This window comes from Homo sapiens, chromosome 18 (assembly GCF_000001405.40).
Source record: "Homo sapiens chromosome 18, GRCh38.p14 Primary Assembly".
NCBI lineage: Eukaryota > Metazoa > Chordata > Mammalia > Primates > Hominidae > Homo > Homo sapiens.
In genome coordinates, this window is record NC_000018.10 from 21473328 (window position 1) to 21500843 (window position 27516).

At 45.1% G+C, this 27516-nt stretch overlaps 1 protein-coding gene across 29 annotated transcripts in view; it reads left to right on the top strand.

Moving 5' to 3' along the window:
• The window catches only part of GREB1L (GREB1 like retinoic acid receptor coactivator), a 283881-nt gene that overhangs the window by 231096 nt on the left and 25269 nt on the right, over positions 1 to 27516 (top strand). For all 29 annotated transcript variants that reach the window (XM_006722547.4, XM_011526179.4, NM_001410867.1 and 26 more), the window contains 7 exons: positions 3837 to 4029; positions 12293 to 12426; positions 16685 to 17024; positions 22343 to 22458; positions 23127 to 23371; positions 26402 to 26979; positions 27213 to 27315. In XM_006722547.4, coding sequence (XP_006722610.1) covers positions 3837 to 4029; positions 12293 to 12426; positions 16685 to 17024; positions 22343 to 22458; positions 23127 to 23371; positions 26402 to 26979; positions 27213 to 27315 — 1709 coding nt within the window. The remainder of the gene's footprint in view (positions 1 to 3836; positions 4030 to 12292; positions 12427 to 16684; positions 17025 to 22342; positions 22459 to 23126; positions 23372 to 26401; positions 26980 to 27212; positions 27316 to 27516) is intronic.

The window sequence follows — 27516 nt, forward strand, 5'->3', positions numbered from 1 at the left end:
GGGAGGCTGAGGCGGGTGGATCACTTGAGGTCAGGAGTTAGAGACCAGCCTGGCCAACATGGTGAAACCCCATCTCTGCTAAAAATATAAAAATTAGCTGGGCCTGGTAGTGCATGCCTGTAATCCCAGTACTTGGGAGGCTGAGGCAGGAGAATTGTTTGAACCCAGGCGCTGGAGGTTCCAGTGAGCCAAGATCACACCACTGCACTCCTGTCTGGGTGACAGAGTGAGACTTTGTCTCAAAAAAAAAAAAAAAAAAAGAAAGAAAAGAAAATGTGTTAAAGGTGATTCCAAAGCCCAGGGACCCTAATCTTTGCCATCTTCTTACTGGTAACTTTTTCCTACCCTTTTCTTGCTTCCTCGACTTCTCTCATCGATTTCATGTTGGTTTTATGTTAACTACATATATTAGTCCATTTTCATGGTGCTAATAAGGACATACCCGAGACTGGGAAAATTTACAAAAGAGGTTTCATTGGACTCACAGCTCCTCGTAGCTGGGGAAGCCTCACAATCATGGCATAAGGCAGGGAGGAGCAAGTCACATCTTACATGGATGGCGGCAGGCAAAGAGAGAATGAGGAAGATGTAAAAGCAGAAACCTCTGATAATATCATCAGATCTCGTGAGACTTACTGTCACAAGAACAACACGGGAAAGACCCGCCTCCATAATTCAGTCATCTCCCACTGGGTCCCTCCCACAACACGTGGGAATTATGGGAGCTACAAGATGAGATTTGGGTGGGGATACAGAGCCAAACCATATCTTTCTGCCCCTGGCCCCTCCCAAATCTCATATCTTCACATTTCAAAACCAATTATGCCTTCCCAACAGTCTCCCAAAGTCTCAACTCTTTTCAGCATTAACCCAAAAATCCAAGTCCAAAGTCTCATCTGAGACAAGGCAAGTCCCTTCTGCCTAGGAGCCTGTAAAATCAAAAGCAAGTTAGTTACTTCCTAGATAGAATGGGGGTACAGGCATTGGATAAATACAGCCATTACAAATGGGAGAAATTGGCTAAAACAAAGAGGCTACTGGCACCAGTAGGAACTCAGTGTGGTGGGTCTGACCCCACATTTCCCTTCCACACTGCCCTAGCAGAGGTTCTCCATGAGGGCCCCACCCCTGCAGCAAACTTTTGCCTGGGCATACAGGCATTTCCATACATCTGAAATCTAGGCAGAGGCTCCCAAACCTCAGTTGTTGACTTCTGTGTACCCACAGGCTCAACACCATGTGGAAGCTGCTTCCACCCTCTGAAGCAACAGCCCAAGCTGTACATTGGCCCCTTTAGTCATGGCTGGAGCAGCTAGGATGTGGGGCTCCAAGTCCCTAGGCTGCACACAGCACAGGGCCCACCCCAAAAAGCCACTTTTCCCTCCTGGCCCACAAAAATACTTTTTCCTCCTAGGCCTCTAGGTCTGTGGATGGGAGGGGCTGCCATGAAGACCTCTGACATGCCCTGGAGACATTTTCCCCCATTGTCTTGGGGATTAAGATTCCGCTCCTTGTTACTTATGCAAATTTCTCCAGCCAGAAACTCCCCCTTATGATACTATCAGATCTCATGAGACTTTCTTTATCACAAGACCAGCATGGGAAAGACCCATCCCCATAATTCAATCATCTCCCACCGGGTCCCTCCCACAACACATGGGAATTATGGGAGCTACAAGATAAGATTTGGGTGGGGAAACAGAGCCAAACCATATCACTGCACTCTGGATGAATTTAGAGATTCCTGAAAAAATTTTGTTTTAAGAGCTTTGTGGAACTCAGCTTCATTAGAGAAAGGACAGCAATAAGGAGGTTAAGATGAATGAGCTCCTGGAAGGGAGATGTGCTTCCCTCTCTGCCTCCACCCCACTTTTCCATTTGGCCTTGCTTCTTTTCCTTCCTCTCTCACTATTTCTCCTCTTCCTTGCCCTTCTCCCCTCTTGCCTTTAAAAGCAGTAGAGATGCCACTTTGATGACCTGAAAGCTTCCCCAGTTTCCCAGTTTAAACAAGAGAGTATCATATTTACTGGATGAACTTATTATTATTTTTGAGATAGAGTCTCACTCTGTCACCCAGGCTGGAGTGCAGTGATGCGATCTCGGCTCACTGCAACCCCCGCCTTCCGGGTTCAAGCAATTCTGTGCCTCAGCCTCCTGAGTAGCTGGGATTACAGACGCCCGCCACACGTCTGGCTAATTTTTGTATTTTTAGTAGAGATGGGGTTTCAACATCTTGGCCAGGCCAGCCTTGAACTCCTGACCTCGTGATCCACCCACCTTGGACTCCCAAAGTGCTGGGATTACAGGCGTGAGCCACCATGCCTGGCCTGGATGAACTTATTAATGAAAGAAAAGTTGGCAGGGTGCGGTGGCTCACACCTATAATCCCAGCACTTTGAGAAGCCAAGGTGGGTGGATTACTTGGGGACAAGAGTTCAAGACCAGCCTGGCCAACATGGTGAAACCCCATCTCTACCAAAAATACAAAAAAATTAGCTGGGCGTGGTGGCACATGCCTGTAATCCCAGCTACTAGGGAGGCTGAAGCAGGAGAATCACTTGAACCCAGGAGGCAGAGGTTGCAGTGAGCGGAGATTATGCCACTGCACTCCAGCCTGGGTGACACAGAGAGAGACTCCGTCTCAAAAAAAAAAAAAAAAAAAAAAAAAAAGAGTCAAATATGGATCCATATTTGCTCCCAGATCAAATTCTAGTAATTATCTGGTAGGGGGCATCTTTGCTCCTATGGATCAAAAAGCAAATCAGCAGGGGTCGGGGGTGGCAAATAGTCATCGTGTATTACATATCATGGTTTGTCCTCACCATGTAGTGGGGAGAGAAATTTCAGACATCATCAAGCATTTGTAGATGTTCTTTTCTCCAGGAGATGCTGAGGTTAGGAATCTGGAAGTTTTTGGTTTGTGGTAGGGAAATGTCAGAATTGCAAAGCTCTTTTTCAGAAGCCAGAAAGTGTTTGATAATACTCCACAATCTGAAACCTAGAGCCATACATAGGTATAAATAAGATCTTGTAGAACTTGTTAGATTTTGAAGAAAGGAAGGGAGGGAGAGAGAGAGAGAGCGGGAAAAGAAATTTTGCCCACATCTGTTTAGGTCTTGGTAGTCTTCTATGAGCAGGAATAGCTCATTGACCCTGTACACCTCATCTTTGAAAGTTTTGGGTGATATTTCTGAGGATACATGTTGGGACTTCTCTGAATTTAATTTTTTGTTGTTGTTGTTTTGGGGTTTTGTTTTTTTTTTAAACAGTCTAGCTGTGTTGCCCAGGCTGGAGCACAGTGGCGTGATTTCTGCTCACCGCCACCTCCTCCTCCTGGTTCAAGCAATTCTCCTGCCTTAGCCTCCCGAGTAGCTAGGATTACAGGCACACACCGCCACACCCAGCTAATTTTTTTTGTATTTTTTTTTTTTAATAGAGACGGGGTTTCACCATGTTGGCCAGGCTGGTCTTGAACTCCTGACCTCAGGTGGTCCATCTGCCTTGGCCTCCCAAAGTGCTGGGATTACAGACGTGAGCCACCATGCCTGGCCCAACTGCAGATTTAGATATCACTGGCCTAAATGACTGAGTTTGCACTTTGAGGTATATTGGGAATAAAGTGAAAAGGAAAAAAAATACATATTCCTGAAATCTGTCTGAAAAGAAGGAATGTAAATTTTTTTTCCTTTCCGTGTCAAATTTTAGTTGTTTCTTCTCTGCTCCCAATTGAAAAGAGATAGAAAAATAAAAACTAAAACAGTATGTCCATGTTAGTGTCTGATTCTATATCTACTTGGTTAAATGAGGTATTAATATGACTTTCAATTTTTCTACAGTGTCATTTCAGGCTCTTTGTCACATAGCGAACCCAGTCATGGGCTAGCTGATAGAGTCATTAATTGCAGAGAAGTTCTGGAAGCTTTCAACCTCCTGGTGCTCCAGGTCAGCTCCTTCCCATACACTCTGCAGACCCAACAGTCCCGCATTAGCTCTAGCAATGAGGTTCACTGGATACAGCTGGATACTGGGGTGAGTCTCTTGCCTGCTGTCTGATACACTGTCATGTTCTCAGTTCCCAAGAGGGTAGGACCTTGTAACAAAATGTGTCATGGCTTAAGACCATATTCATAAGAATTCAAAATCTAACGTAATGCTTTATGTAAGAGTTCAAAAATCTGGCTGGGTGCGGTGGCTCACACCTATAATTCCAGCACTTTGGGAGGCCGAGGCGGGTGGATCACAAGGTCAGGAGATCGAGACCATCCTGGCTAACACGGTGAAACCCCGTCTCTACTAAAAATACAAAAAATTAGCCGGGTGTGCTGGCACACGCCTGTAATCCCAGCTATTCAGGAGGCTGAGGCAGGAGAATCACTTAAACCCGGGAGGCGGAGGTTGCAGTGAGCGGAGATTGTGCCACTGCACTCCAGCCTGGGGGACAGAGCGAGACTCCGTCTCAAAAAAAAAAAAAACAAAAAACTAACATAATTCTGTATCTTCCAAAAGTTCCATATATTTTAACAATTATTATAAGACTAAAGGCTTGTGAATAATATCCTATATAAATTTGATTAGGTGGTTCTTAGGTATCATGCAGATACAAAATTATCTGTCGTATATAATTTTTCAAAAAGAAAATGTTGATGTTATCTGAGGCCATCATCAATATCCTGGATTTCCTTTGTGCCTTCATATGATTAATTTCACCCTGAGACCTGGACATTTTATTGTCCTCTTGGATGGCCTTTTTGTCATGTTTTAGTCTGATGATCTGCATCACTGTTAATTACTCTCTTGCTCCTCCAGCAACTGGGTTTTTGTTTTAAATCAGTTTTCACAGTCTTCTGTATGAAATGGGATGATGGCACTGTTACTTTAGATAACTCCATAGTAGCAGTGAATGTGTTGAGACTACCCATCTCAACATTGGATATATCCAGGGATTTATAGTTTTTACTCCAATCTCTAATATTGAAAAATATTTTCTATGACCTGAAACTGTATGCTAAATATACTATCAAAGAAAAGAAATGTGAGTTTCATAAAAATAATAAAAATTAGCCATTAAGCAATGGATCCCTCATTTAAAAATATTGAACACACTGGATATTTTAAAATAAACATGTTTAAGTAAAAAACACCAAAAATGTCTTACATAAAACTAACATTTATTTTTCAACCCAGTGCATTTTATTCTGTCATGAAGTAGGTAAGTTCTCTGACTTGGCGCTCTTGTCTTCAAGCATTGGTTTGTTCCTTGCAAGCAGGAAGCTCAGGTCCTTGAATCTTGTCTTCAGCAGTCACTGCCTTATGAGAACTAACTCAGTGTGTTCTATCACTAGAGATTACTTTGAGCTTTTGCTTTCTTGGTATCTTCTCCATGCCAGCTCCAGCCATTCATTGGGCAGTTGAGGTAGGGGTGAGATAACAGAGCTGCCAGAGTTCCTTTGCCTCCAAACTACAAGGGGAGCCTGTGGGCTACCCAAGTAGCTGCTGGGTTGCTCTGACAAAGAATGGATTGCCAAGAGAATGAATGGAAAGAATAATTATTTTTCTAATTAATTATTTTTTTGAGGCAGAGTCTCGCTCTGTCACCCAGGCTGGAGTGCAGTGGTGCGAAGTCAGCTCACTGCAACCTCCACCTCCCAGGTTCAAGCAGTTCTCCTGCCTCAGCCTCCAGAGTAGCTGAGATTACAGGTGCTCGCCACCTTGCCTGGTTAATTTTTGTTTTTTTAATAGAGACCAAATTTCACCATGTTGGCCAGGCTGGTCTCGAACTCGCAACCTCAGTTGATCCACTCACCTCGGCCTCTCAAAGTCCTGGAATTACAGGTGTGAGCCACCATGCCCAGCCAAGACTAATTAATTTTTTAATCCCCCAGATAGTTCTCTTATTTTGCATTAAATTTCGATATATTGGAGTGTAGAGACAACTGTCCTAATTCAGTCTTTTCCGAAAGGGATCACACCCCAGTGATAGGAAGAAGGACCAATAGCCTCTGCCCTTTATTTTCTCCTACCATGAAATAGAGAAACAGGCTTAAAATAATTTTCCTTAAAAGTCATTTTAGCCAGGCACAGTGGCTCACACCTGTAATCCCAGCACTTAGGGAGGCCGAGGTGGGTGGATCACTTGAGCCCAGGAGTTCAAGACCAGCCTGGGCAACATGGTGAAACCCCATCTCTACAAGAAGTATAAAAGTTAGCCAGGCACGGTGGCATGTGTCTATAGTCCCAGCTACTCAGGAGGCTGAAGTGGGAAGACTGCTTGAACCCAGTAGGTCAAGGCTGCAGTGAGCTGAGATTATGCCACTACATTCCAGCTTGAGAGACATAGCAAGACCCTGTCTCAAAAAAAAAAAAAAATCATTTTAAGGAAGTGATTAATTTTTAAGGTTTAATAATGGTATTACAGTTATTTATTTTTACGTTTTTTTGAGTCAGGGTCTGACGCCCATGCTGGAGTGCAGTGGTGCAATCATGGCTCACTGCAGCCTCAAACTCCTGGGCTCAAACAATCCTCCCACCTCACCCTCCCAAGTAGCAGAGCTACATGCACATACCACAATGCCTGACTAATTTTAAAAATATTCTGTAGAGACAGTATCTCACTGTATCACCCAGGCTGGTCTCAAACTCTTGGCCTCAAGCAGTCCTCCCATCTTGACCTCCCAAAGTATCAGGATTACAGGCATGAGCCACTGTACCCAGCCTGTGGTTATGTTTCTGAAAAGGGTTTTTGGCTAGGCGCGGTGGCTCACGCCTGTAAACTCAGCACTCTGGGAGGCTGAGATGAGTGGATCACTTGAGGTCGGGAGTTCGAGACCAACCTGGCCAATGTGGTGAAACCCCATCTCTACTAAAAATACAAAAATTAGCTGGGTGTGGTGGCAGGCACCTGTAATCCCAGCTACTCCAGAGGCTGAGGCTGGAGAATTGCTTGAACCCAGGAAGTGGAGATTGCAGTGAGCCGAGATTATGCCACTGCACTCCAGCCTAGGTGACAGAGGAAGACTCCATCTCAAAAACAAAAAGAGGGGAGGGGCTTCTTATCTTAGATATATCTAGTGATGTACTTCTGGATTAAAGATATGATATCAGGTATTTGTTCAAACTAATTGAGAGGTGAATAGTTATACTCTTCTTCAATTTAAGATTTAAAGAAATCATCCCTGAAATTGAGATCAACATGGGATAAAGGGAAAAAAAGCATTTAATTTAATATACAACAACCTTATACATGTAAGGGAGAAGCTCCTGATGATTAGCGTCCTTTAGTTATATTGAAGCCTATATCCCAGGAGGAGTAATTGGAAAAAAGCAAATTAATTTAATTCAAAAAATATGATTGAGCACACTTGTGGACTTGTGTTGAATCTTGCAAAGAACACACAGAAAACTGATGGTTTAGGCCAAGCACAGTGGCTCATGCCTGTAATCCCAGCACTTTGGAATGCCAAGGCAGGCAGATCATTTGAAGTCAAGAGTTAGAGACCAGCCTGGGCAACACGGTGAAACCCCATCCCTACTAAAAATACAAAAATTAGCCAGGCGTGGTGGCGGGCAACTGTAATCCCAGCTACTCAGAAGGCTGAGGCAGGAGAATCACTTGAACCTGGGAGGCGGAGTTTGCAAAGAGCCGAGATAGCACCACTGTACTCCAGCATGGGTGACAGATTAAAAAAAAAGAAAGAAAGAAAAAGAAAACTGATGGTTTAGAGGAGAAAGCAAAGTACATATCTAAGTCACTATTATCCAGAGGAGAATAAGACAATTTCAAAAAATCAAAATGTTCTGGGAGTTGAAGTGAGGGAGGAGTCACATTTATTTGAGAGGTCCAGAGGAAGCTCCGTGGAAAAGAGAGAACAGGGGATGGCCCTGGAAAGACAGGAAGGCCTGGGCAGGGGGATGGGGGCAGGAGGAGGCACTCCTGGCAGCAGACAGTGTGGGCAGGGGACACAGAGGAGAAAACTGTGGGCATTTTTCAGAGAATGCTGGATAGGATGCAAAAGAAGACTGGAAATATACACATGGAGGCTGTGAGTTTCAGGCTAGCAAAGTTTATACTTATTATACAGGCATTAAGGATTTTTGAGCAACAGTATATATGTATGTGTGTGTGTGTGTGTGTGTGTGTGTGTGTGTGTGTGTATATATATATATATATATAGCATTATTAGAATTTACCTGTTTCTTGTTTATATTAACAATGTAAATGTACAGCTTGATGAATTTTTACAAACGAAACACGCCTGTGGGACCAGCACTCAGATCAAGAAACAGAATATTACCACCACCCGAGAAGTCCTGTGTCCCTTCTAGGCACCCCCACTAAAGGGTAACACTATTCTGGCCTTCTGTACTACAGATTTGTTTTGCTCAGTATGGAGCTTATATAAATGGAAACATGGAGTATGTACTCTCTTGTATCTGACTTCCTTTGCTCAACATGATGTTTGTGAAATTTGCAGTTTTCATGAATCGTAAATCATTCTTTTTGCTCTGTGTGTGTGTTACATTATATGACTCCACCACAATTCATGTATCCATCCTATTTTATTTCACATAGTACTGCTGTAACATCCTGGCACACCCTTTAGTAAACGTATGTATGCATTTCTTTTGGGTCTCTGAGAGTGAAATTGCTGTGTCATCAGGTACTCATATGTTCAGCTTTAATAGCTACTGAGAGGCAGTTCATTCAATCTAGAGGCTAAGTCAAAGTGATTAGAAGTAGATCAGTCAGTGGCTTTTCTGATAATTTGGGTTAGAATGAACAAATACATGAATTAGAATGATGGTCCTGGTAGTAAAATGGATGGGAGACATGGTACATTTTCTAGGATTTGTTTATTCAGGGAGAGAGAAGAACCAGAAATATTTTTGAGGCGTTCCCTTTAGTTGGAAAAAAGAAGTTGAAAGAAGTTTTTTGTTTTGTTTTGTTTTTTGAGACGGAGTCTCACTCTGTTAGCCAGGTTGGAGTGCAGTGGCACGATCTCAGCTCACTGCAACCTCTGCCTCCCGGGTTCAAGCGATTCGTCTGCATCAGCCTCCTGAGTAGCTGGGATTACAGGCATGTGCCACCACGCTCGGCTAATTTTTTATATTTTCAATAGAGATGGGGTTTCACCGTGTTGGCCAGGTTGGTCTTGAACTCCTGACCTCAAGTGATCTGCCCTCCTCGGCCTTCCAAAGTGCTGGGATTATAGGCGTGAGCCACCGCGCCTGGCCTGAAAGAAGTTTGATTTGTGGAGGGCAGATGAGACTGACTTTGAGTTAAGATGCAGGTGAGCACACCATTGTGTAGATTACAGATTTTTTTTTTTTTTTTTTTTTTTACAAACAATGATCATTGAAGCAGCTGGTGTGGTTAGAATCATGGAAGAAAATAACAAAGAACTGCCAAGAGGGTAGTGAGACCAAGGGCCAACAAGTCATCACCAACGCCCGCAGCGAAAGCACAGGGAGCATGGAGGGTCACTGAAAGGGCAGGCCTTCCACAGCGGGGAGTTTGCCTTATGAGAAGGGACATTCTCCCCCCAGAAATAGTGATTCAATAAGTCAGACGATTTATGATACCTGAAACGTATCTTTATAGTAAAATCATTCAGTTTCATAACTCATAGTTTAAAGGATGGTTCCACTCATTTCTGTTAAAACTTTTGTAACACAAAACCATAGTTACAGTTTAATGCAAACAGAACAGATGGAGAAACCATTCACTTCTAATTCTAATTTTTAGTAGCTCTAGTTCTCAAAACCCATACTGGCTCTAGTTAATCACAGGCCATCTATTTACCAACCTGCTAAGAAGAAAGAGAGAGAAATAAAAACGAGGACAGGTGGATGCAAGGCGGATGCATCGTATCCAGCAGTTCTAATGCTGTGTCAGGAAGAGCAGCAGGCTCGGAATAGGATTTGACATTTTCCCAAAGAAACAGGGGCCAAGGGTGAGAGGGAAACGTGAAGACCAAGTACACACTTCATAAAGCTTTTCCAGATGACTCTGTGTCTGCAGTCCAGATAAGGAGGGAAACTTAGATGAATGACTTTTTTCCCTGTGAAATGACTTATTTGACACAGTTACCCAGAACACAGCTAAGCCCAGAAGGAAATAAGCAAAGGCTTCTAGCCTTGAAAATAGATGTCATTCAATCTATGTTGTCAGTCTCCAGTATCTCTAGGAACATATTCCGGTGCTCTCATAAAGCCTGTTTACCCTCAAACCCTATTCCTAAAAGCAGGGTTTTGGGGGGGACCTCAAAAAATTAAAAGCTGCCAGTTAAAACATGCTTTATTTTTATCTTATGGACCTTATAAATCATACAGTTGTTTCTCTTTAGATGGTTACTGAAAAGCTCAGAACCAGCCGGGCACATTGGCTCATGTCTGTAATCCCAGCACTTTGGGAGGCCGAGGCAGGTTGATCACCTGAGATCAGGAATTCGACACCAGCCTGCTAACATGGTGAAATCTAATCTCTACTAAAAATACAAAAATTAGCTGGGTGTGGTGGTACATGCCTGTAGTCCCAGCTGCTTGGGAGGCTGAGGCAGGAGAATGGCTTGAACCCAGGAGGCAGAGATTGCAGTGAGCCGAGATCATGCCACTGCACTCCAGCCTGGGTGACAGAGTGAGACTCCTCAAAAAAAAAGAAAAAAAAAAAGCTCAGAATTTGGGCTACCAAATTTGTAGCCCACTTCTAACCAAATGTGCAGCAGCTGCTGGCATGCATTTTAGGGAATACTTACTTTATCCCTGGCCCAATCTTCCTTCTCTTACCCTTGCTTTTTCTTCCTCTGATTGCTTAATTTATTTTTATCTTAATACATACATACATATATATATATAATTTTTTTTTTTTTTGAGATGGAGTTTCACTCTGTCGCCCAGGCTGGAGTGCAGTGGCACAATCTCGGCTCACTGCAACCTCCACCTCCGGGTTCAAGGTATTCTTCTGCCTCAGCCTCCTGAGTAGCTGGGTCTGTAGGCACCCGCCACCACGCCTGGCTAATTTTTGTATTTTCGGTAGAGATGGGGTTTCACCATATTGGCCAGGCTGGTCTCAAAAAAAAGTGCTGGGTTTACGGGCGTGAGCCACTGCGCCCAGCCTTTATCTTATTACATTTTTTAAAGCTGCCTTATTTCCTTTATGAGTTGGAGAGCACTTAAATAAAAATGTCAACACATAATAAATAACAAAAGTGGGCCAGGCGCAGTAGCTTACGCCTGTAATCCCAGCACTTTGGGAGGCCAAGGCGGGCGGATCACCTGAGTCCAGGAATTTGAGACCAGCCTGGCCAACGTGGCGAAACCCCGTCTCTCCTAAAAATGCAAAAAAAGAAATTAGCTGGGCGTGGTGGTGGGTGCCTGTAATCCCAGCCACTCGGGAGGCTGAGGCAGGAGAATCGCTTGAAACCGGGAGGCAGAGGTTGCAGTGAGCCAAGATCGCACCATTGCACTCCAGCCTGGGCAACAAGAGCAAAACTTGGTCTCAAAAATAAAATAAAATAACAAAAGTGAGACCAAATGGCACAGGCAACATGACAGCAAGCAGTGACTGTAAAAAACTAATGTAGAAAAGATGCAAAAGAAAGCTACAAACAAAAACAGATTCATGAACTCAAAAAGCTTATTTAATATCGTAGAGCTTCTGAGTTTAAGGATAAGCAACTTGTCACACTTCTCAAGATCCTCTGAGGGCATCCTTATGTCACATCCTAAAATAGCTATTCATTTTCATAGTGATGACTGACTCATCAAGAGGGGGCTACGTTAAATACTGTGGATCCTGTTAAAGGAAAGCATATATTCCATTTTTAAAGTAAAATTTGTTTGCAAAGATAAGCTTTTATGAGTTATCATTATGAAATGATGTCAGAAAAGTTAAGGTTTCTGTAACAGAGGAGTTTGTCAATCTCTAGAGCGTTCTGAGGAAAGCCTATTTATCTGTATAGAGAACTACTTCCAGCAGGGAAAAAGGCTGAGAATTGAGGCTGTCTGACCTTGTGTATCCCAACAAAAAAAAAAGAAAACAAACCATGTGCCTGAAGGAAGTGTGTCAACTTTCCACTAATCACATATTCAGTTCCTTTGAAATTAAAAGAAGTTTCACTTAGTGCCTCAGAGATGACTGCAGAGTTGGTGTCGGGTTACATAATGAAACAGTATTTTTTCTTACTTGTCAGGAAATAACCTCTTACAGCGGTCATTTCTGTAAACCCCACTTTCTGGAAAACAAGACACACTGTATCCTGTCCTCATTGGGTTTTTGCTCTGTATTTTGAACCAGGAGGACGTGGGCTGCGAGGAGAAGCTGTACTTTGGCTTGAGTGAGTACAGCAAGTCTCTGCAGTGGGGGATCACGAGCCCACTTCTGAGATGTGACGAGACTTTTGAAAAAATGGTGAACACACTCTTGGAGAGGTAAATAGTAAATAAGGCCTTCTGCTCTTCTCTCTAGCTGTACTTGCAGATCTAAAATAGCCAAAAGCCTTTTGTGTCAGTGCTACGGGGTGTTTGATGGAGCCCTTGCAGATGACGTGCAAAGGCCAAATTAAAACAGCCTTTCCTAAGATGCCCTACTATTGTTTTATGTGATCATCCAAGATCAATAAAGGAAAATACAACCAAAGTGGGCCATTGCACTACTTTTCATGCTGAGTCAGCTCCCGGTCATGCTTCACTGCTATCATCAGGAGATGGATAGGGCAGAGAGGGATTTGCTTATTCAAGACCCGCTTCTGGCTGGGCGCGGTGGCCCACGCCTGTAATCCCAGCACTTTGGGAGGCCGAGGCGGGCGGACCATGACATCAGGAGATCGAGACCACCCTGGCTAACACGGTGAAACCCCATCTCTACTAAAAATACGAAAAATTAGCCAGGCGTGGTGGCAGATGCCTGTAGTCCCAGCTACTTGGGAGGCTGAGGCAGGAGAATGGTGTGAACCCGGGAGGTGGAGCTTGCAGTGAGCCGAGACCACGCCACTGCACTCCAGCCTGGGTGACAGAGCGAGACTCCGTCTCAAAAAAAAAAAAAAAAAGTCCCACTTCTCTGAGCTCCGGCCTCTCCTACCCTACACCTCAGACTTTGACATTTTTCCCTCTTTTCTCCCCTGTCCACCACAGGCAAGGACCCTAAGATGATTCAGTAAAAACTAAACTTTACTATGAGAGATTTGAAGTATACACTGGAAGAAATTAAAGAGCAATCAGATAATTGAGGTGAATTCAGTTCTTGGGGCTCCTCCTCCAGTCCCTGGCCTTAGGGATTAAGGAACATAACTGCTGTCTTTTCTTCCCTTTTCTAAAAAAAGAAAAAAAAAATCCCCATTTTCAGATTAAACTCTGAAAGAGTTTTTTTCCCTCTGTGACCTTGAATCATAGATTCAGAGGTAGGTAGAGACATTAGAATTTACCTAACCTAATAAAGGTCCCTTTCTGCCCTCCACAATATTCTGTTTGATCATCCAATGTTGGGGCGATTGGGCTTTATTTTATGGGGCAAATTCTAATTTTTAGTAGCTATAGTTCTTAGAATGGCTTTAATTGATCATATTATTTAACAGCTATTTAACAAACCTGTCCATAATTTTGCTAAGAAAAAAGAAAAGGAAATTAAAATGAGGACCTATGGATGCATCCTATTCAGTAGATTATAATACTGCATCCGGAAAGAGCACAGGCTCAAGTACGGTTTGATATTTTTGCAGCTGTTGGATTTGGAAAGTCTTAACTGACACTGTGACATTAATCCTTTCACAGCACATGTAGTCTTAATTTTCCAAAATCATTCCATGAGTACCCCCTTTAAGCATTCCTACCCACCTGTTACATCCACCAGCTTGAAATGCATCTTCTTTTTCTGGTAACATCATTCAGAGTTTCCTAACTTTTATTTTAAATGATGATCTCATCAACTTTCTATTGTAGTTTTGTGCTACAAAAGTTGTAAGTATAGTTTAATGCAAGCATGACAGATTGGAGAAACTGTGCACTTCTGACTTCATGATTCTTCCAGAGTATGAAACAGAAATGCCAGATATCAAAGTTACCATTTATTCTAACTTTGGCTTTTCTACGTGGCCCAGCAAAAAGCATTAAGCTTGAAACATAGATTATCTATACTTATTTCCTCCAACCCAGTCACCCCAGCCTAATAGTAGCTATGACTTACTGAATACCTGAAGGGACCAGCCCAGGATTTATTGAACTGAAGGATTTCTTCATTTCTACCCAGCCAGCTAAATCCTTGCAATGTGTGAAGACCTTGCTAGAGGCTGGATAAAATCTAGAGCTAGCTTTGTCTCTGATCAGTTGTATGAACTGGGACAAGCAGCTGAACTTCTCTCTGCCCCTGAACTCATTCTCTTTCTATGAAAAGGCAGAGTGGGCTGGGCGCGGTGGCTCATGCCTGTAATCCCACCACTTTGGGAGGCCAAGGTGGGTGGATCACCTGAGGTCAGGAGTTCGAGACCAGCCTGGCCAACGTGGTAAAACCCTGTCTCTACTAAAAATACAAAAAAAAAAAAAAATTAGCCAGGCGTGGTGGCGGGCACCTGTAATCCCAGGTACTTGGGAGGTTGAGGCAGGAGAATCACTTGAACCTGGGAGGCGGAGGTTGCAGTGAGCTGAGATTGCGCCATTGCACTCCAGTCCGAGCGACAGAGTGAGACTCCATCTCAAAAAAAAAAAAGACCGGGTGCAGTGGCTTACACCTGTAATCCCAGCACTTTGGGAGGCTGAGGTGGGCGGATCACCTGAGGTCAGGAGTTTGAGACCAGCCTGATCAACATGGAGAAACCCTGTCTCTACTAAAAATACAAAATTAGCTGGGCGCATGCCTGTAATCCCAGCTACTCAGGAGGCTGAGGCAGGAGAATTGCTTGAACCCGGGAAGCGAAGGTTGCAGTGAGCCAAGATTGCACTACTGCACTCCAGCCTGGGTGACAGAGCGGGACTCTGTCTCGAAAAAAGAAAAAGAAAAGGCAGAGTTGTTCATATACAGGGCATCTTGGTCCTTTCCAGTTCTAAAACACCTCAAAAGTGTTCATGTGTTATTCATTTGATAGCTGTCATTGGCATTTCTTTGACCTGGAGGTTTTCTGTGCAAGGCCAGTGGACCACTTGTTGTATTTTAAGTAGAATTATAGAATGGAACAAAGGTGAAATCCCCCATTAGCCTACCCAGCTGCTGGTGGCTGCATTGCTACCAAATGGCAACCAGAAAGAAAGTGCACAGCCCCAGCCTTATTCTACCAGGCTCCATGAGAGCATTGGCCAACCTTGGACCCAGAGCCCACTTTGCCAGCACCTACTTTCTTTCTTTTTCTCTTTTTTATATTTTTAAGACAGACTCTCACTCCGTCGCCCAGGCTGGAGTGCAATGGCATGATCTCGGCTCACTGTAACCTCCACCTCCCAGGTTCAAGTGATTGTCCTGCCTCAGCCTCCCAAGTAGCTGGGATTACAGGCGCCCGCCACCACACCCAGCTAATTTTTATATTTTTAGTAGAGATGGGGTTTCACCATGTTGGCTAGGCTGGTCTCGAACTCCTGATCTCAAGTGATCCACCCACCTCGTCCTCCCAAAGTGCTGGGATTATAGGCATGAGCCACCGCGCCCAGCCTACTTTCTTTTTTAAAAAATTTTATTTTTATTCAGCAGCAGAAGTACTGCTGGGCAGTGTGCTCAGGGTAGCCAAGCACCTGCTTTCTTGACTAGCAGCTCTTCATGCCTGTAACTGGGTCCTCTTTGCCCATTCGTACTCATTTTGTCATCAGGCCTGGCTGAGGCGTAGCACCAAAAGGAGAGATTTGTTTTCTACCTCCTATAATTGTAAAAACTGCCGATTTTAACAAAGGGATCCTCTTCCCTGGCAGTCCAGGCTTAGGGGAAAATGGTACCAAAGGCTGCTGCTGCTACCAGGCTCAGATTTGCTTGGCTCCCTTGACGGAGCCAGGTCTCAGGTGATGAGGCTACAACACTAGGGGGTGCTATTTCTCCAGTCAGCTCCAAGTTTCTCCAGCACCAAGGAACAGTTTATGGAAAGATAGAAATTGCTATCTGTGAGGCTGACCTCAGATTAGTAGTAATAATTACCCTTTTTATGTCTAATACTCGACAGATATTACATTAATGCCTCAGTTTCCTGTATTGTAATCTTATATATCAGAGAAATAAGTGGACAGTGCTGCCATTCTAACCCAATACCACCAGCAAGAGGTGAGGATCCAGGAATTATCCATGATGACTATGCTGGCAATGAATGGAATAGACCAGCGTGTCTCAGAATTTAACGTGCATGCAATTCCCTGGGAGTCTTGTTAAGCTTCAGATTCTGATTAGTAGGTCTGGGGTGGGGAGATTGAGCATTTCTAACAAGCTCCCAGGTGCTGCTGCTGCTGGTGGTCTGTAGACCATACTTTGAGAAGAGGTTTCTAGACAATCTCTAAACCCCTTTACTGTGCTGTACTTATCCCAACAGGTTGATTCACATGCTTTGGAAGCTCAACCTTTTCCTTCCAGTGATGTAGGATCCCAGGTCATTCTAGAACTAAAGCCCCACCACACTGATCAGTAGCCCCTTCCCCACCATGCTTAATCTGCATTCTTACTGCACAGGCCTTGCTGCTCCCAGCTGGCCCTGCTGCCTGAGTGCTAGTGCCTTGTTTTCTGTTGAAGGTACCCCAGGCTGCACAGCATGGTCGTCCGCTGCTATCTTCTCATCCAGCAGTACTCTGAGGCCCTGATGGCTCTCACCACCATGGCGTCACTCCGCGACCACAGCACACCAGAAACACTCAGCATTATGGATGACCTCATCAGCTCCCCAGGCAAAAACAAAAGTGGGAGGGGACACATGCTCATTATCAGGGTGCCCTCGGTGCAGCTGGCGATGTTAGCCAAGGAGCGGCTACAGGAGGTGCGCGACAAACTGGGTCTGCAGTATCGGTTTGAGATCATCCTTGGGAACCCGGCCACCGAACTCAGTGTTGCAACTCACTTTGTGGCGCGATTAAAGGTTAGCAATGGACAGACATTTCTCCTTTAAAATACCATTTGTTTCTCTTTTCTAGGAATCCTACATAGGTGGCTCAGGGGCCTGAGTTTAATAGAATCACATGTGTGATTCCATGACAATGATAAGGCTAAATTAAGGGACATATTCACTTTCTTAATTAGAACCAGTTTGTAAAGATTGCCCAGCCCTTTATAGCATGCAGTTAGTGCATGCAGTTGGTCTTCCATGCTCTCCAACTGCAGGTGCAAAAAAATGAGATGACCCAATTTGACCCCATGTTTATTGGCCTTGTTCAAGATGCATGTAGCCCATGGCCATCTGTTTTCTGAGAAAAAAAGGTAAGTTATCCTCTCAGACCTCTGTGGGGTAATGTTTTAAGTATCCTCAACTCACTAATTCTTTTCTGTTCATCTAGCCTCTCTGTGAGCTCATGTCTAGAGTCGGTAAAGTATTCTGTTTCATCTTCAGTACTCAGAACTGTTCCTAGCCCTCTTGCATGTGGATTCCTCAGCAGTTTGTTGTTTCTTTTTACTTGCTTTGACCCTCAGCCCCAAGGCTTTGGCTGGACTGAGACTTTGCCAGGCGCCCTACAGAAGAATTTAGTGCATGACTGAGTCCCTCACTGCTCCCTCTGCACGGCCAGTGATTGACTGCTTCTCCCCTTCCTCTCCTGTCAAGCATCAGGGTGGGAGGAGTAGAACCCTCAGCCAACTAACCTAACTCCCTACCTTATGCCTGACTCGGTTTTTCTGGGCCTGTAATCCAGTGGGGCCTAGCCATTAGAAAGCATTTAATCAAATATCCACCTACATGTCGGTATGGAACTGAGCTAGCTACTGTATGTCTGAGTTAGACCAACTTGTTTCTGCGCCCTATACATTAAATGCTGAGCTAAATTGGGTTAAGGAAAATCTGGTTCAGCACAAATTTTATGAAAAGAAGGCACATAGTCATGGGGGAATTTGCATTTTCACCCTGGGCTGCGGTTTCCCATCTGCAAAATGAGAGAATTGGGTTGTATAATCTCTAAGAGTTCTAATTTGGGGATGATTATTTAGTGTTCAAAAATTGTTCTGGGCTGGGCGCAGTGGCTCATGCCTGTAATCCCAGCACTTTGGGAGGCTGAGGCAGACAGATCAGGAGGTCAGGAGATCAAGACCATCCTGGCTAACATGGTGAAACCCCGTTTTTACTAAAAATACAAAAAAAAAATTAGCCAGGTGTGGTGGCGGGTGCCTGTATTCCCAGCTACTCAGGAGGCTGAGGCAGGAGAATGGTGTGAACCCAGGAGGCGGAGCTTGCAGTGAGCCAAGATCGCACCACTGCACTCCAGCCTGGGCGACAGAGCGAGACTCTGTCTCAAAAAAAAAAAAAAATTGTTCTGGAGATGTAAATCTTCTTCTTGTGTTCAGTTAGCTAACCTAAATTGAATAATCCAAAATGCAGACAAAATATCTTGTATTAGCTTAATAAGCAATTGGAACAAATAAAATTGTCCAAAAAATAGAAACTCCTAAATTTAGAAGTTGTAACATTTATGTTTCATATATAGATACACGTTCACAATTTTATGTTATAGTCATAGACTACATTACAGTGGAATTCCTAGGATGAATAACAAAACTCCGGAAACGCTTCTTACAGTATAATTCATGGAGACATGAATTACGGGCTTGAGACCATTTGAATATTGCTAATGATGAAGAATTTGGAGGCTGGGCACGGTAGCTCATGCCTGTAATCCCAGCACTTTGGGAGGCCGAGGCGGGCGGATCACAAGGTCAGGAGATCAAGACCACCCTGGCTAACACGGTGAAACCCTGTCTCTACTAAAAATACAAAAAATTAGCCAGGCATGGTGGCGGGCGCCTGTGGTCCCAGCTACTCGGGAGGCTGAGGCAGGAGAATGGCGTGAACCCGGGAGGCGGAGCTTGTAGTGAGCCGAGATTGTGCCACTACACTCCAGCCTGGGCGACAGAGCAAGACTCTGTCTCAAAAAAAAAAGAAAGAAAAAGAAAAAGAATTTGGAAAGGCGGACAATCAGCAGCACCATGCTAAGTCTCCCACATCTGTTGCCAGAGATGACCTAAATGCACGTGAGGCTGCTGGGTCTTCTCCTGGTCTCTGTTGACACTGATTAAGTGAAGCTACTTAGAGAGTCTTAATCATGTGTTCAGAAGGGCCAGTCACTAAGTCAGTATAAATCAGTCTGTCCTAAATAATTTACCCCTCTGGACCACTGTTGGAAAACCACAGTCAAGGCCTGAGGTTCTTCACCTGGCTGCTAGCTCATCAGAATCACCTGCAGGGCTTTCAGAGGCACATTAGTTGACAATCACTGTGCCCTAAACGAAGGGGGCCTCAAGTTACGACTTCTCAAGGCAGTGACATCTTCCTCAATTGGTATGAGTAGCTGCCAGGCAACAAGTACGTATAAGAGTGTCCCATATTCTGGCTGCTGTGATGGCTCATGCCTGTAGTCCCAGCTACTTGGGAGCCTGAGGCAGGAGGTTTGCTTGAGCCCAGGAGTTTGAGGCTGCAGTGAGCTATGATCCCACCACTGCACTCCAGCCTGTGCAACAGAGTGAGACCCTGTCTCTTAAAAATATATAAAAATAAACAAGTCCCAAATTCTCAAAATCACTGGATCACATCAGTCCTTTTTATACTCTGTATTTGTGTGGGAGTAAAAATATGAGATCATGTTGGGATGTTCACATCGTAAGCAAGACTGAATTGTCAAGTAGATTGCGGCTCACTCATTTATTTCTAAGTTATCAACCTCCTTCACCATTTTCAGGATGGCAAGATTGTGCCTTCTATCTCTACTTTTGGGTAAAATCCAACACTACTTCTATTATGTGATCTTATTTTTGTGCTTACCCCTAATTATCCTGTTATGTATTGTGGTTAACTTATACTGATGATGACCCCTTTGGAAGGATACAAAGTTTAAGTCAGTTCCTCCAGAAGGCAGGTGAAGCTTTCATTAGATGTCCTTGTTCTTAAGCCTTGTATTATCCTTGAACTCAATGATCACCCCATCTTTTGTGTTAAGTGCTTCTGCAATGTCATCTTGAGGGCCTGATTGATGCACAGGAGAACTGCAGCCATCAGTCATCAGAAGGAGCAATGTGATGGAAAAGCATTTTATAGTGGGTTTGGCTAGCTGTGGTTGGTCAAGAGTAAAAGTGAGATTTGACTACTAATCTGAAAATAAACATCCTCATATAGGCCAGGTGCAGTGGCTCACGCCTATAATCCCAGCACTTTGGGAGACTGAGGCGGGCAGTCGCTTGAGGTCAGGAGTTCAAGACCAGCCTGGCCAATATGGCGAAACCCCATCTCTACTAAAAATACAAAAATTAGCCAGGTGTGGTGGTGGGTGCCTGTAATCGCAGCTACTCAGGAGGCTGAGGCAGGAGATTCGCTTGAACCCGGGAGGTGGAGGTCGCCATGAGCCAAGATTGCACCACTGTACTCCAGCCTGGGTGACAGAGTGAGACCCTGTCTCAAAAAAAAAAAAAAAAAAAAAAAAAAAAGTCCTCATACAGTAAAACATTTTAACTCTTATTCCATCAATATAAACCTGACCTCTTCCTGGTAAAGCTATGACCTCTATAGAGACAGTTCTGGGAGATAAAACACATTCAGGGAGAAACCCAGTGTCAGGGATACCATGCGTCCAGTGTGAATGTGATCAGTAAAGTGATTTCTATTCCAGAATGGTTTGCTTTAAATGAGACAATGTTATGGTTCCCCCTGACATGAAATGGTATGGAAAATTAAATTTTTACAGAGAATTTTTCTTCTAGCATTAAAAAAATCTTTTTGACACATTGATTTTTCTAAAACACGGGAAGTCTGTGAAACTTGTGAACAGTTACGTAGATTCCCTATTTCCCCTTAGTATGCACATATATAATAAAAGATTGGACAACAAGTAAAAGCCTAAGAATGGTTAAGCTTCTTCCAGTTTTACAAATTATAGAAATTTTATTTGAAGTGATTGTGGGAATGTTTATTTCTAAAGACTGGCTTTTCTTTATTGAGCCTTTTCTTTATTGAGCCTTTTCTAGGCATTAGCAAATCACCAATCAAACCCTATTGTCTTTTGCTTGGTGACTTTCTTTTTATCCTATTTTGTGCTTAGCAAAGGAAGTACCAGTCTATTTTAAAACAAAATTGTATGCATTACTGGCCAGGTATGGTAGCTCACACCTGTCCACGGCACTCCAGCCTGGGCAACAGAGCAAGACTCTGTCTAAAAAAAAAAAAAATTGTATGTATTACTTAACACCTTGCTTCTTAGTCTGTTCCCCTAAAACGTTATCAGAAATGTCAGTTCATTGCTTATAATAACTCCTGCTAGAAAGGTAGTAAAAAGTATAGGTACATGCTACACACTTAATGAAAAGCAGTAGAAACCACCTTATCTACTTAAGAGATGGTTATTTTTCTTTCTGTTCTAAAATAGACACATCTGTAAGATCATTTTACTTTTGAATATTTTTCAAATTGGCGGGATTACTTTTCATTGATATGTTTATGTTTTCAAGATTGGTGTTCCATTTATTAAAGATATGTATGTCTATGTATATGTGTGTTTATATGAAAAATTGATACTTAATAGGTTCTTTGAGAAACCATAAGCCAATTACATTACCCCTCCAAATGAGGGGCAGTTTCGTTTTGTTGTTTTTTTCTCAATCCAGGTCTGGTTATATTTTTAGCCTTCTTGAGAGAGATTCTTTCAAGGCCCTAAGCCAATAATTGCTTGTTAGTTATTTTAAAAGTCAGTAAAGCAAGAAGGAGGGAAAATAACTATCAAGAGTGGTTCAATGTTTTCATTATTTTCTTGGTGAAATGTCTGTTTTAATGGAATTCTGAGATTCTTTTTTGAGTCATTCACAACTGAAACTCTTTTTCAGTCTTCCAATCCCAAGAATTTCTCCAATGTGTGAAGAAAGTATATTTAAGTGCCTGGATTCAGGTAGTTTAGCCAGGATTTCTGTAAGGTTTCCATCACTAGTGGGATATTTCACATTGTATGTGTTTTTGGCTTGTGTTACTAATGTCTGAGGTATACCAGCATCTCCGTTTTATCCTACTGAGATAAACTACAGCCCTCGTTCCTTCAGAAGTGCCTTGTATATGCGATGTAGTAGCAGTTAAAATATACATACATAAACATATGTAAACACTTAGTGGAGTAATTTGAAAGCACAGTGTGTCTAAAATCTGGACTCAGAAGCCTGTAAAAAAGGTGGAAACTTAAATGAGAGTTTTAATTTTAACATACGGGTCTCTTTCTGTAGAGTTGGAGAGGAAATGAACCAGAAGAGTGGATCCCTCGGACATACCAAGATTTAGACGGTCTACCTTGTATTGTGATATTAACTGGCAAAGATCCTCTTGGAGAAACCTTTCCCAGGTACAGTTTCAATAATTAATTCCATTTTTCATCAGTTGCCCAGCTGAACTGATGATTAAAACTTGGCTGATGGCCCAGTCATTTCCTTTGTTTGGCAGGTAATGAGAAGAGGATTGTTTAATGCAGGGATACAAGAAATACAGCCATACAACCTTCTTTTATTCTTTTTTTTTAGCTTTCCAGAGAACACCCAGCAATTTTGGGAATGGGCGATAGCCACATTTGAGAAATGTCAGAGAGGCAGGGAGGAAAAGCAGGATTTTTTTTTATAAAGTGCTTTGTCTTTGTTAATCTGCTATTCCTGCACCCCTCAAGGATCTAGACTCCATAGACTGGAGGGCAACAACAACATCAACAATAAAAGCATTAGCTGAATGCTTACTGTGCGTGTCAGGCAGTGCCCTAAATGCCTTACATGTATTCAGTCCTTAAAACAACCATATGAGCCCGACACTATCCACTCTTTTTATATTCGAAGAAAATGAAGCACAAAGAAGTGAAGGTCATAACAGCTGGGAGGTGGCAGAGCTGAGGTTTCAGTCAAGGCTCACCTGGCACTGAAACCTATGATTTTAACTGCTGTGTGTTGCATCCAGATCACCAGGCACACATACACACTGCGTGCCTGGCCAGATAGACTCACCAACAACACAATTACTTTTGTTCAGGTCTTTGAAGTACTGTGACCTCCGGTTAATTGACTCAAGCTATTTAACTCGCACGGCCTTGGAGCAGGAGGTGGGTCTGGCATGCTGCTATGTCTCAAAAGAGGTCATCCGGGGACCCACTGTTGCCCTGGACCTCAGCGGGAAGGAGCAGGAGAGAGCTGCTGTCAGTGAGAATGACTCCGATGAGCTGCTCATCGACCTGGAGCGGCCCCAGAGCAACAGCAGCGCTGTCACAGGGACCTCGGGTCAGTACTTTCTTTTCTCTTTCATGGAGTGAGAGACATGAGTCAGGAGGTGTGTAGGAATTTGGAAGGCAGAGGCATTTACTGACACCCCAACGGCCTTCAGAGGAGCCTTCAGGGACTGGCATCCTCTCCAGACCCAGCTCCAGGTGGGAGATGCTTGGAAAACATGACTGTTGAACAGCCACAAAATACTTTCCTGGGTAAACATTTAAGGAAGAGCTTGGTAATAGGCTAAAAACAATTTTATCAACCCTAGCCTGTACCATTTTCCCTAGTCTTTTCTACCCTTAATCTTCTCATGGTTATTATGCATCTCATATTTGCACAAAGGCCCTGTTTTTCTTCCAGGTCCTGAAGCTGTATGTTTGTGCTAAATGGCTTAGTACCTGGCACAAAATGTTTCCTAGAATGAATGAATGAATGAATGGCTTTTCTAAACAGTTAACAGCAAGCATTGTATGCTGAGGGCTCCTCTGGGGCCACTGTCAATGGTGAAGGCCCACCCTGCAGCCTGCCGGCCTCTGTCTTGCAGCATTACTGCAGGTCTATGGCAGTGCCTGGCATGAATTTTCTTCTGATAAATTGTATTATAGCAAATGCAGCACTCTTTCCATTTTTTCTGATTATGAAAGTAATAAAGCTTAATGCAGAAAACATGGAAAATGTCGGCCGGGTGCAGTGGTCCTGTAATCCTAGCACTTTGGGAGGCCGAGGCAGGTGGATCACCTGAGGTCAGGAGTTCGAGACCAGCCTGGCCAACATGGTGAAACCTCATCTCTACTAAAAATACAAACAATTAGCTGGGCATGGTGGCGGGCGCCTGTAGTCCCAGCTACCCTGGAGGCTGAGGCAGGAGAATCACTTGAACCCAGGAGGTGGAGGTTGCAGTGAGCCAAGATCGCACCACTGCACTCCATTCTGGGTGACAAGAGGAAAACTCTGTCTCAAAAAAAAAGAAAGAAAGAGAGAGGGAAAAAAAAAGAAAGAAGAAAGAAAACATGGAGAATGTAACAAAGTACAGAGAATTCTGAGATTAAAAATGAAACACACGCCCACTTCCAGAAGTAATCACTCTTAATGTTGGGTCACATGCCCCTCCTTCTCCCCTCACCACCCCCCCCCCTTTTTTTTTTTTTTTTTGAGATGGAGTTTCGCTCTTGTCCCCCAGGCTAGAGTGCAGTGGCACGATCTCAGCTCACTGCAACCTCCAGCTCCCAGGTTCAAGCGATTCTCCTGCCTCAGCCTCCTGAGTAGCTGGGATTACAGGCACCCGCCACCGCACCAAGCTAACTTTTGTATTTTTAGTAGAGATGAGGTTTCACCATGTTGGCCAGGCTGGTCTCGATCCCATGACCTCAGGTGATCCACCCGCCTCAGCCTCCCAAAGTGCTGGGATTACAGACGTGAGCCACCGCGCCCAGCCTCTCACCCTTTTTTTGAGCTATCATTGAGATCCTTCCATCACTCTGACACATACATGCGAACACACCATAATTTTGTCCAAAAGCAGCACTGGTCTTCCTGTCCATTCTGGCAGCAGCTGCTGGATGGCTCTGGGCAGGAACAGAAGAGGAGGGGTCTGTGGGGTTTGCTGTTGATAGTGACCCTCAGCCTGGAGTTGCTGGAGCTGCCCTGCTCCCCCAGCCAGGGGTTAGGGCTGACCATGTGGACCACTCTGCCTGCCTCAACCCCATCGCAACAGGCTCCCCAGTTTTCTCTCTGAGAGCAGTTTCAGAATAGAGTCAAGGGGTTTGAAGGATAGTAAAGGTTCACAGAAGGGGGGTGGGGGATAACACCTGGAAGCTTTTGGATACCAGCATGAGGAGGAGGAGCACAGCCTGTCTTCCTTCCTGTGGTTCTTCCGTCCCACTCCTTCCTCTCCCTCACTTGAGCTGCCCCACAAAGTGAGCGCTTCCCTGGCCTTGCTCTGCTGAACTCACAAAGGTGGTTTGCCCTTGGCTACTGTGTCCCTCCCTACAGGCCATGCTCATGACACAGAGCACAGGGACCCCAGCCATGGCTGACTCAGAGGGTGACGGGGAGGTTCACTGCCCAGAATGCACAGTGCTGCGGGGAGAAGGCAAGCTCTCCCCCAAGGCAGAGAGACACAGGCAGCTGAGCAAGTGAAGGGGCGGGTTTTAATCATGTCTTGTTGATGGCTGTTCATTCAGGATCTCCCAAGGTTGGGATTCGACCTCCCTGTCTGGGCAGCAACAAGCCGAGCTCAGAGAGGGCCTTTAGTTGAGCTTTTGGTTTGTCTTTAAACCAAAGAGTGGCTGGTCTGTTAGGAGGACAAACACACTTGAAAGGAACTGGTCAAATATGTGGGGCTACTTTAGGGAAAAGCCACCGGCCTTGGAGTCGCATACGCCTATGTCCCACTTCGCGCAGGGCATCCCCCACCCTAGCTTCGGAGTCCATGGAAGGGGTTGCAGTCTGGGGAGCTGATCTGAAGCCAGAGGCATGAGGCCCTCAGTCCCTAGAAGGAAGCCAGTGCTGCCAGGACAGGACTTGAATGTGGAGCCTGTTTTGGGTGGGGTCCTGGGAGGAATCAGAGGGCAGACCCAAACCAGGTCATTTGAGGAGCGTTTAGTAGAGGGACTATTTACTAAGATGTGAACAGAACTTGGAAAAGGAGCAAGAGGTGTGCTGTGCTGGGGGGTGGTTAACCCCAGGGAGCCCTGGCCACCGTGGGCCTGACACAGGGAGGGGTGGGAGCACCTCTCCAGACCTGAGCCGCAGCCCACAGTAGAGAAAGGTGGTTCACCCCTGAAGACCATGCAGGGGGAAGCCACAGAAGAAGCACCCCATCTCCTGCTGGTGGCTGCCATTGGCCAAACCAACTGAGAAGCCAGGGCAAGGAAGCAACACGGAGCAATGTGGAGAGCGGCAAAGAGAAGATTTCTTGCTCAGGGTCTGCAGCCGCGGAGCCGAGCCCAGTGTCCACTGCTTTCCTGGCCTTTGTCTGCTTCCACACCCTAGATCAGTAACAGAGCTGCTGTGGGGTGGGTTCTGTCTGTTCTCTCACAGGTTCCATCATGGAGAATGGAGTGAGCTCTTCCAGCACAGCTGACAAGTCCCAGAAGCAGTCCCTGACCCCCAGCTTTCAGAGCCCAGCCACCAGCTTGGGGCTGGATGAAGGGGTCTCCGCCAGCTCAGCTGGAGCCGGAGCCGGGGAGACTCTGAAGCAGGAATGTGACTCCCTGGGCCCCCAGATGGCGAGCAGCACCACCTCCAAGCCGTCATCATCATCCTCAGGACCCAGGACCCTCCCATGGCCGGGACAGCCCATCAGAGGCTGCCGGGGCCCACAGGCAGCCCTGCCACCAGTGGTGATCCTATCCAAAGCGGCCTACAGTCTCCTGGGCTCCCAGAAGAGTGGCAAGCTGCCATCCTCCTCCTCCCTGCTGCCCCACGCCGACGTGGCCTGGGTGAGCTCCCTGCGGCCACTCCTGAACAAGGACATGAGCAGTGAGGAGCAGTCCCTCTACTACAGGCAGTGGACCTTGGCCCGGCAGCACCACGCTGACTATAGCAACCAGCTGGACCCGGCCTCTGGCACCCGAAACTTCCACCCCCGACGGCTCCTGCTGACAGGGCCCCCACAGGTAGGGCCAAGCCAGCCGGGGCCGTTTCTTAGGCTGGGGTTGGCGCGTCTTCCTCAAGAAGTAGAAGCCAGAAAACCTCTTGGGGGTGGAGCAGGTGTGACAGAGCAGTGAGGACCTCATTCAGGCCTCTCAGGCAGGAGACACTGCAGAGCCAAGGTGTGAAATCTCTTTTCTCTTTTCTTCCCCTCTCTTTCCCGCCTCCACTCCTCCCCAATTAAAAATCTTTCCATTAGGTGGGAAAGACGGGCTCCTATTTACAGTTCCTCAGGATCCTCTTCCGCATGCTCATCAGGCTCCTGGAGGTGGACGTGTATGATGAGGAGGAGATCAACACCGGTGAGTGCTGAGCCCAGGGAGTGGGCAGAGGGGCAAGAGACAAAGACATTGAATTGCAAATCCCGGGAACTTGCTTTTGGCTTCTGGGATTTCTACAGTACCTAACCTGCAGAGTTATTGGGAGGCTAAAGATAATGTGCCCAAGGCCAGGCATGGCGGCTCACGCCTGTAATTTCAGCACTTTGGGAGGTCAAGGCGGGT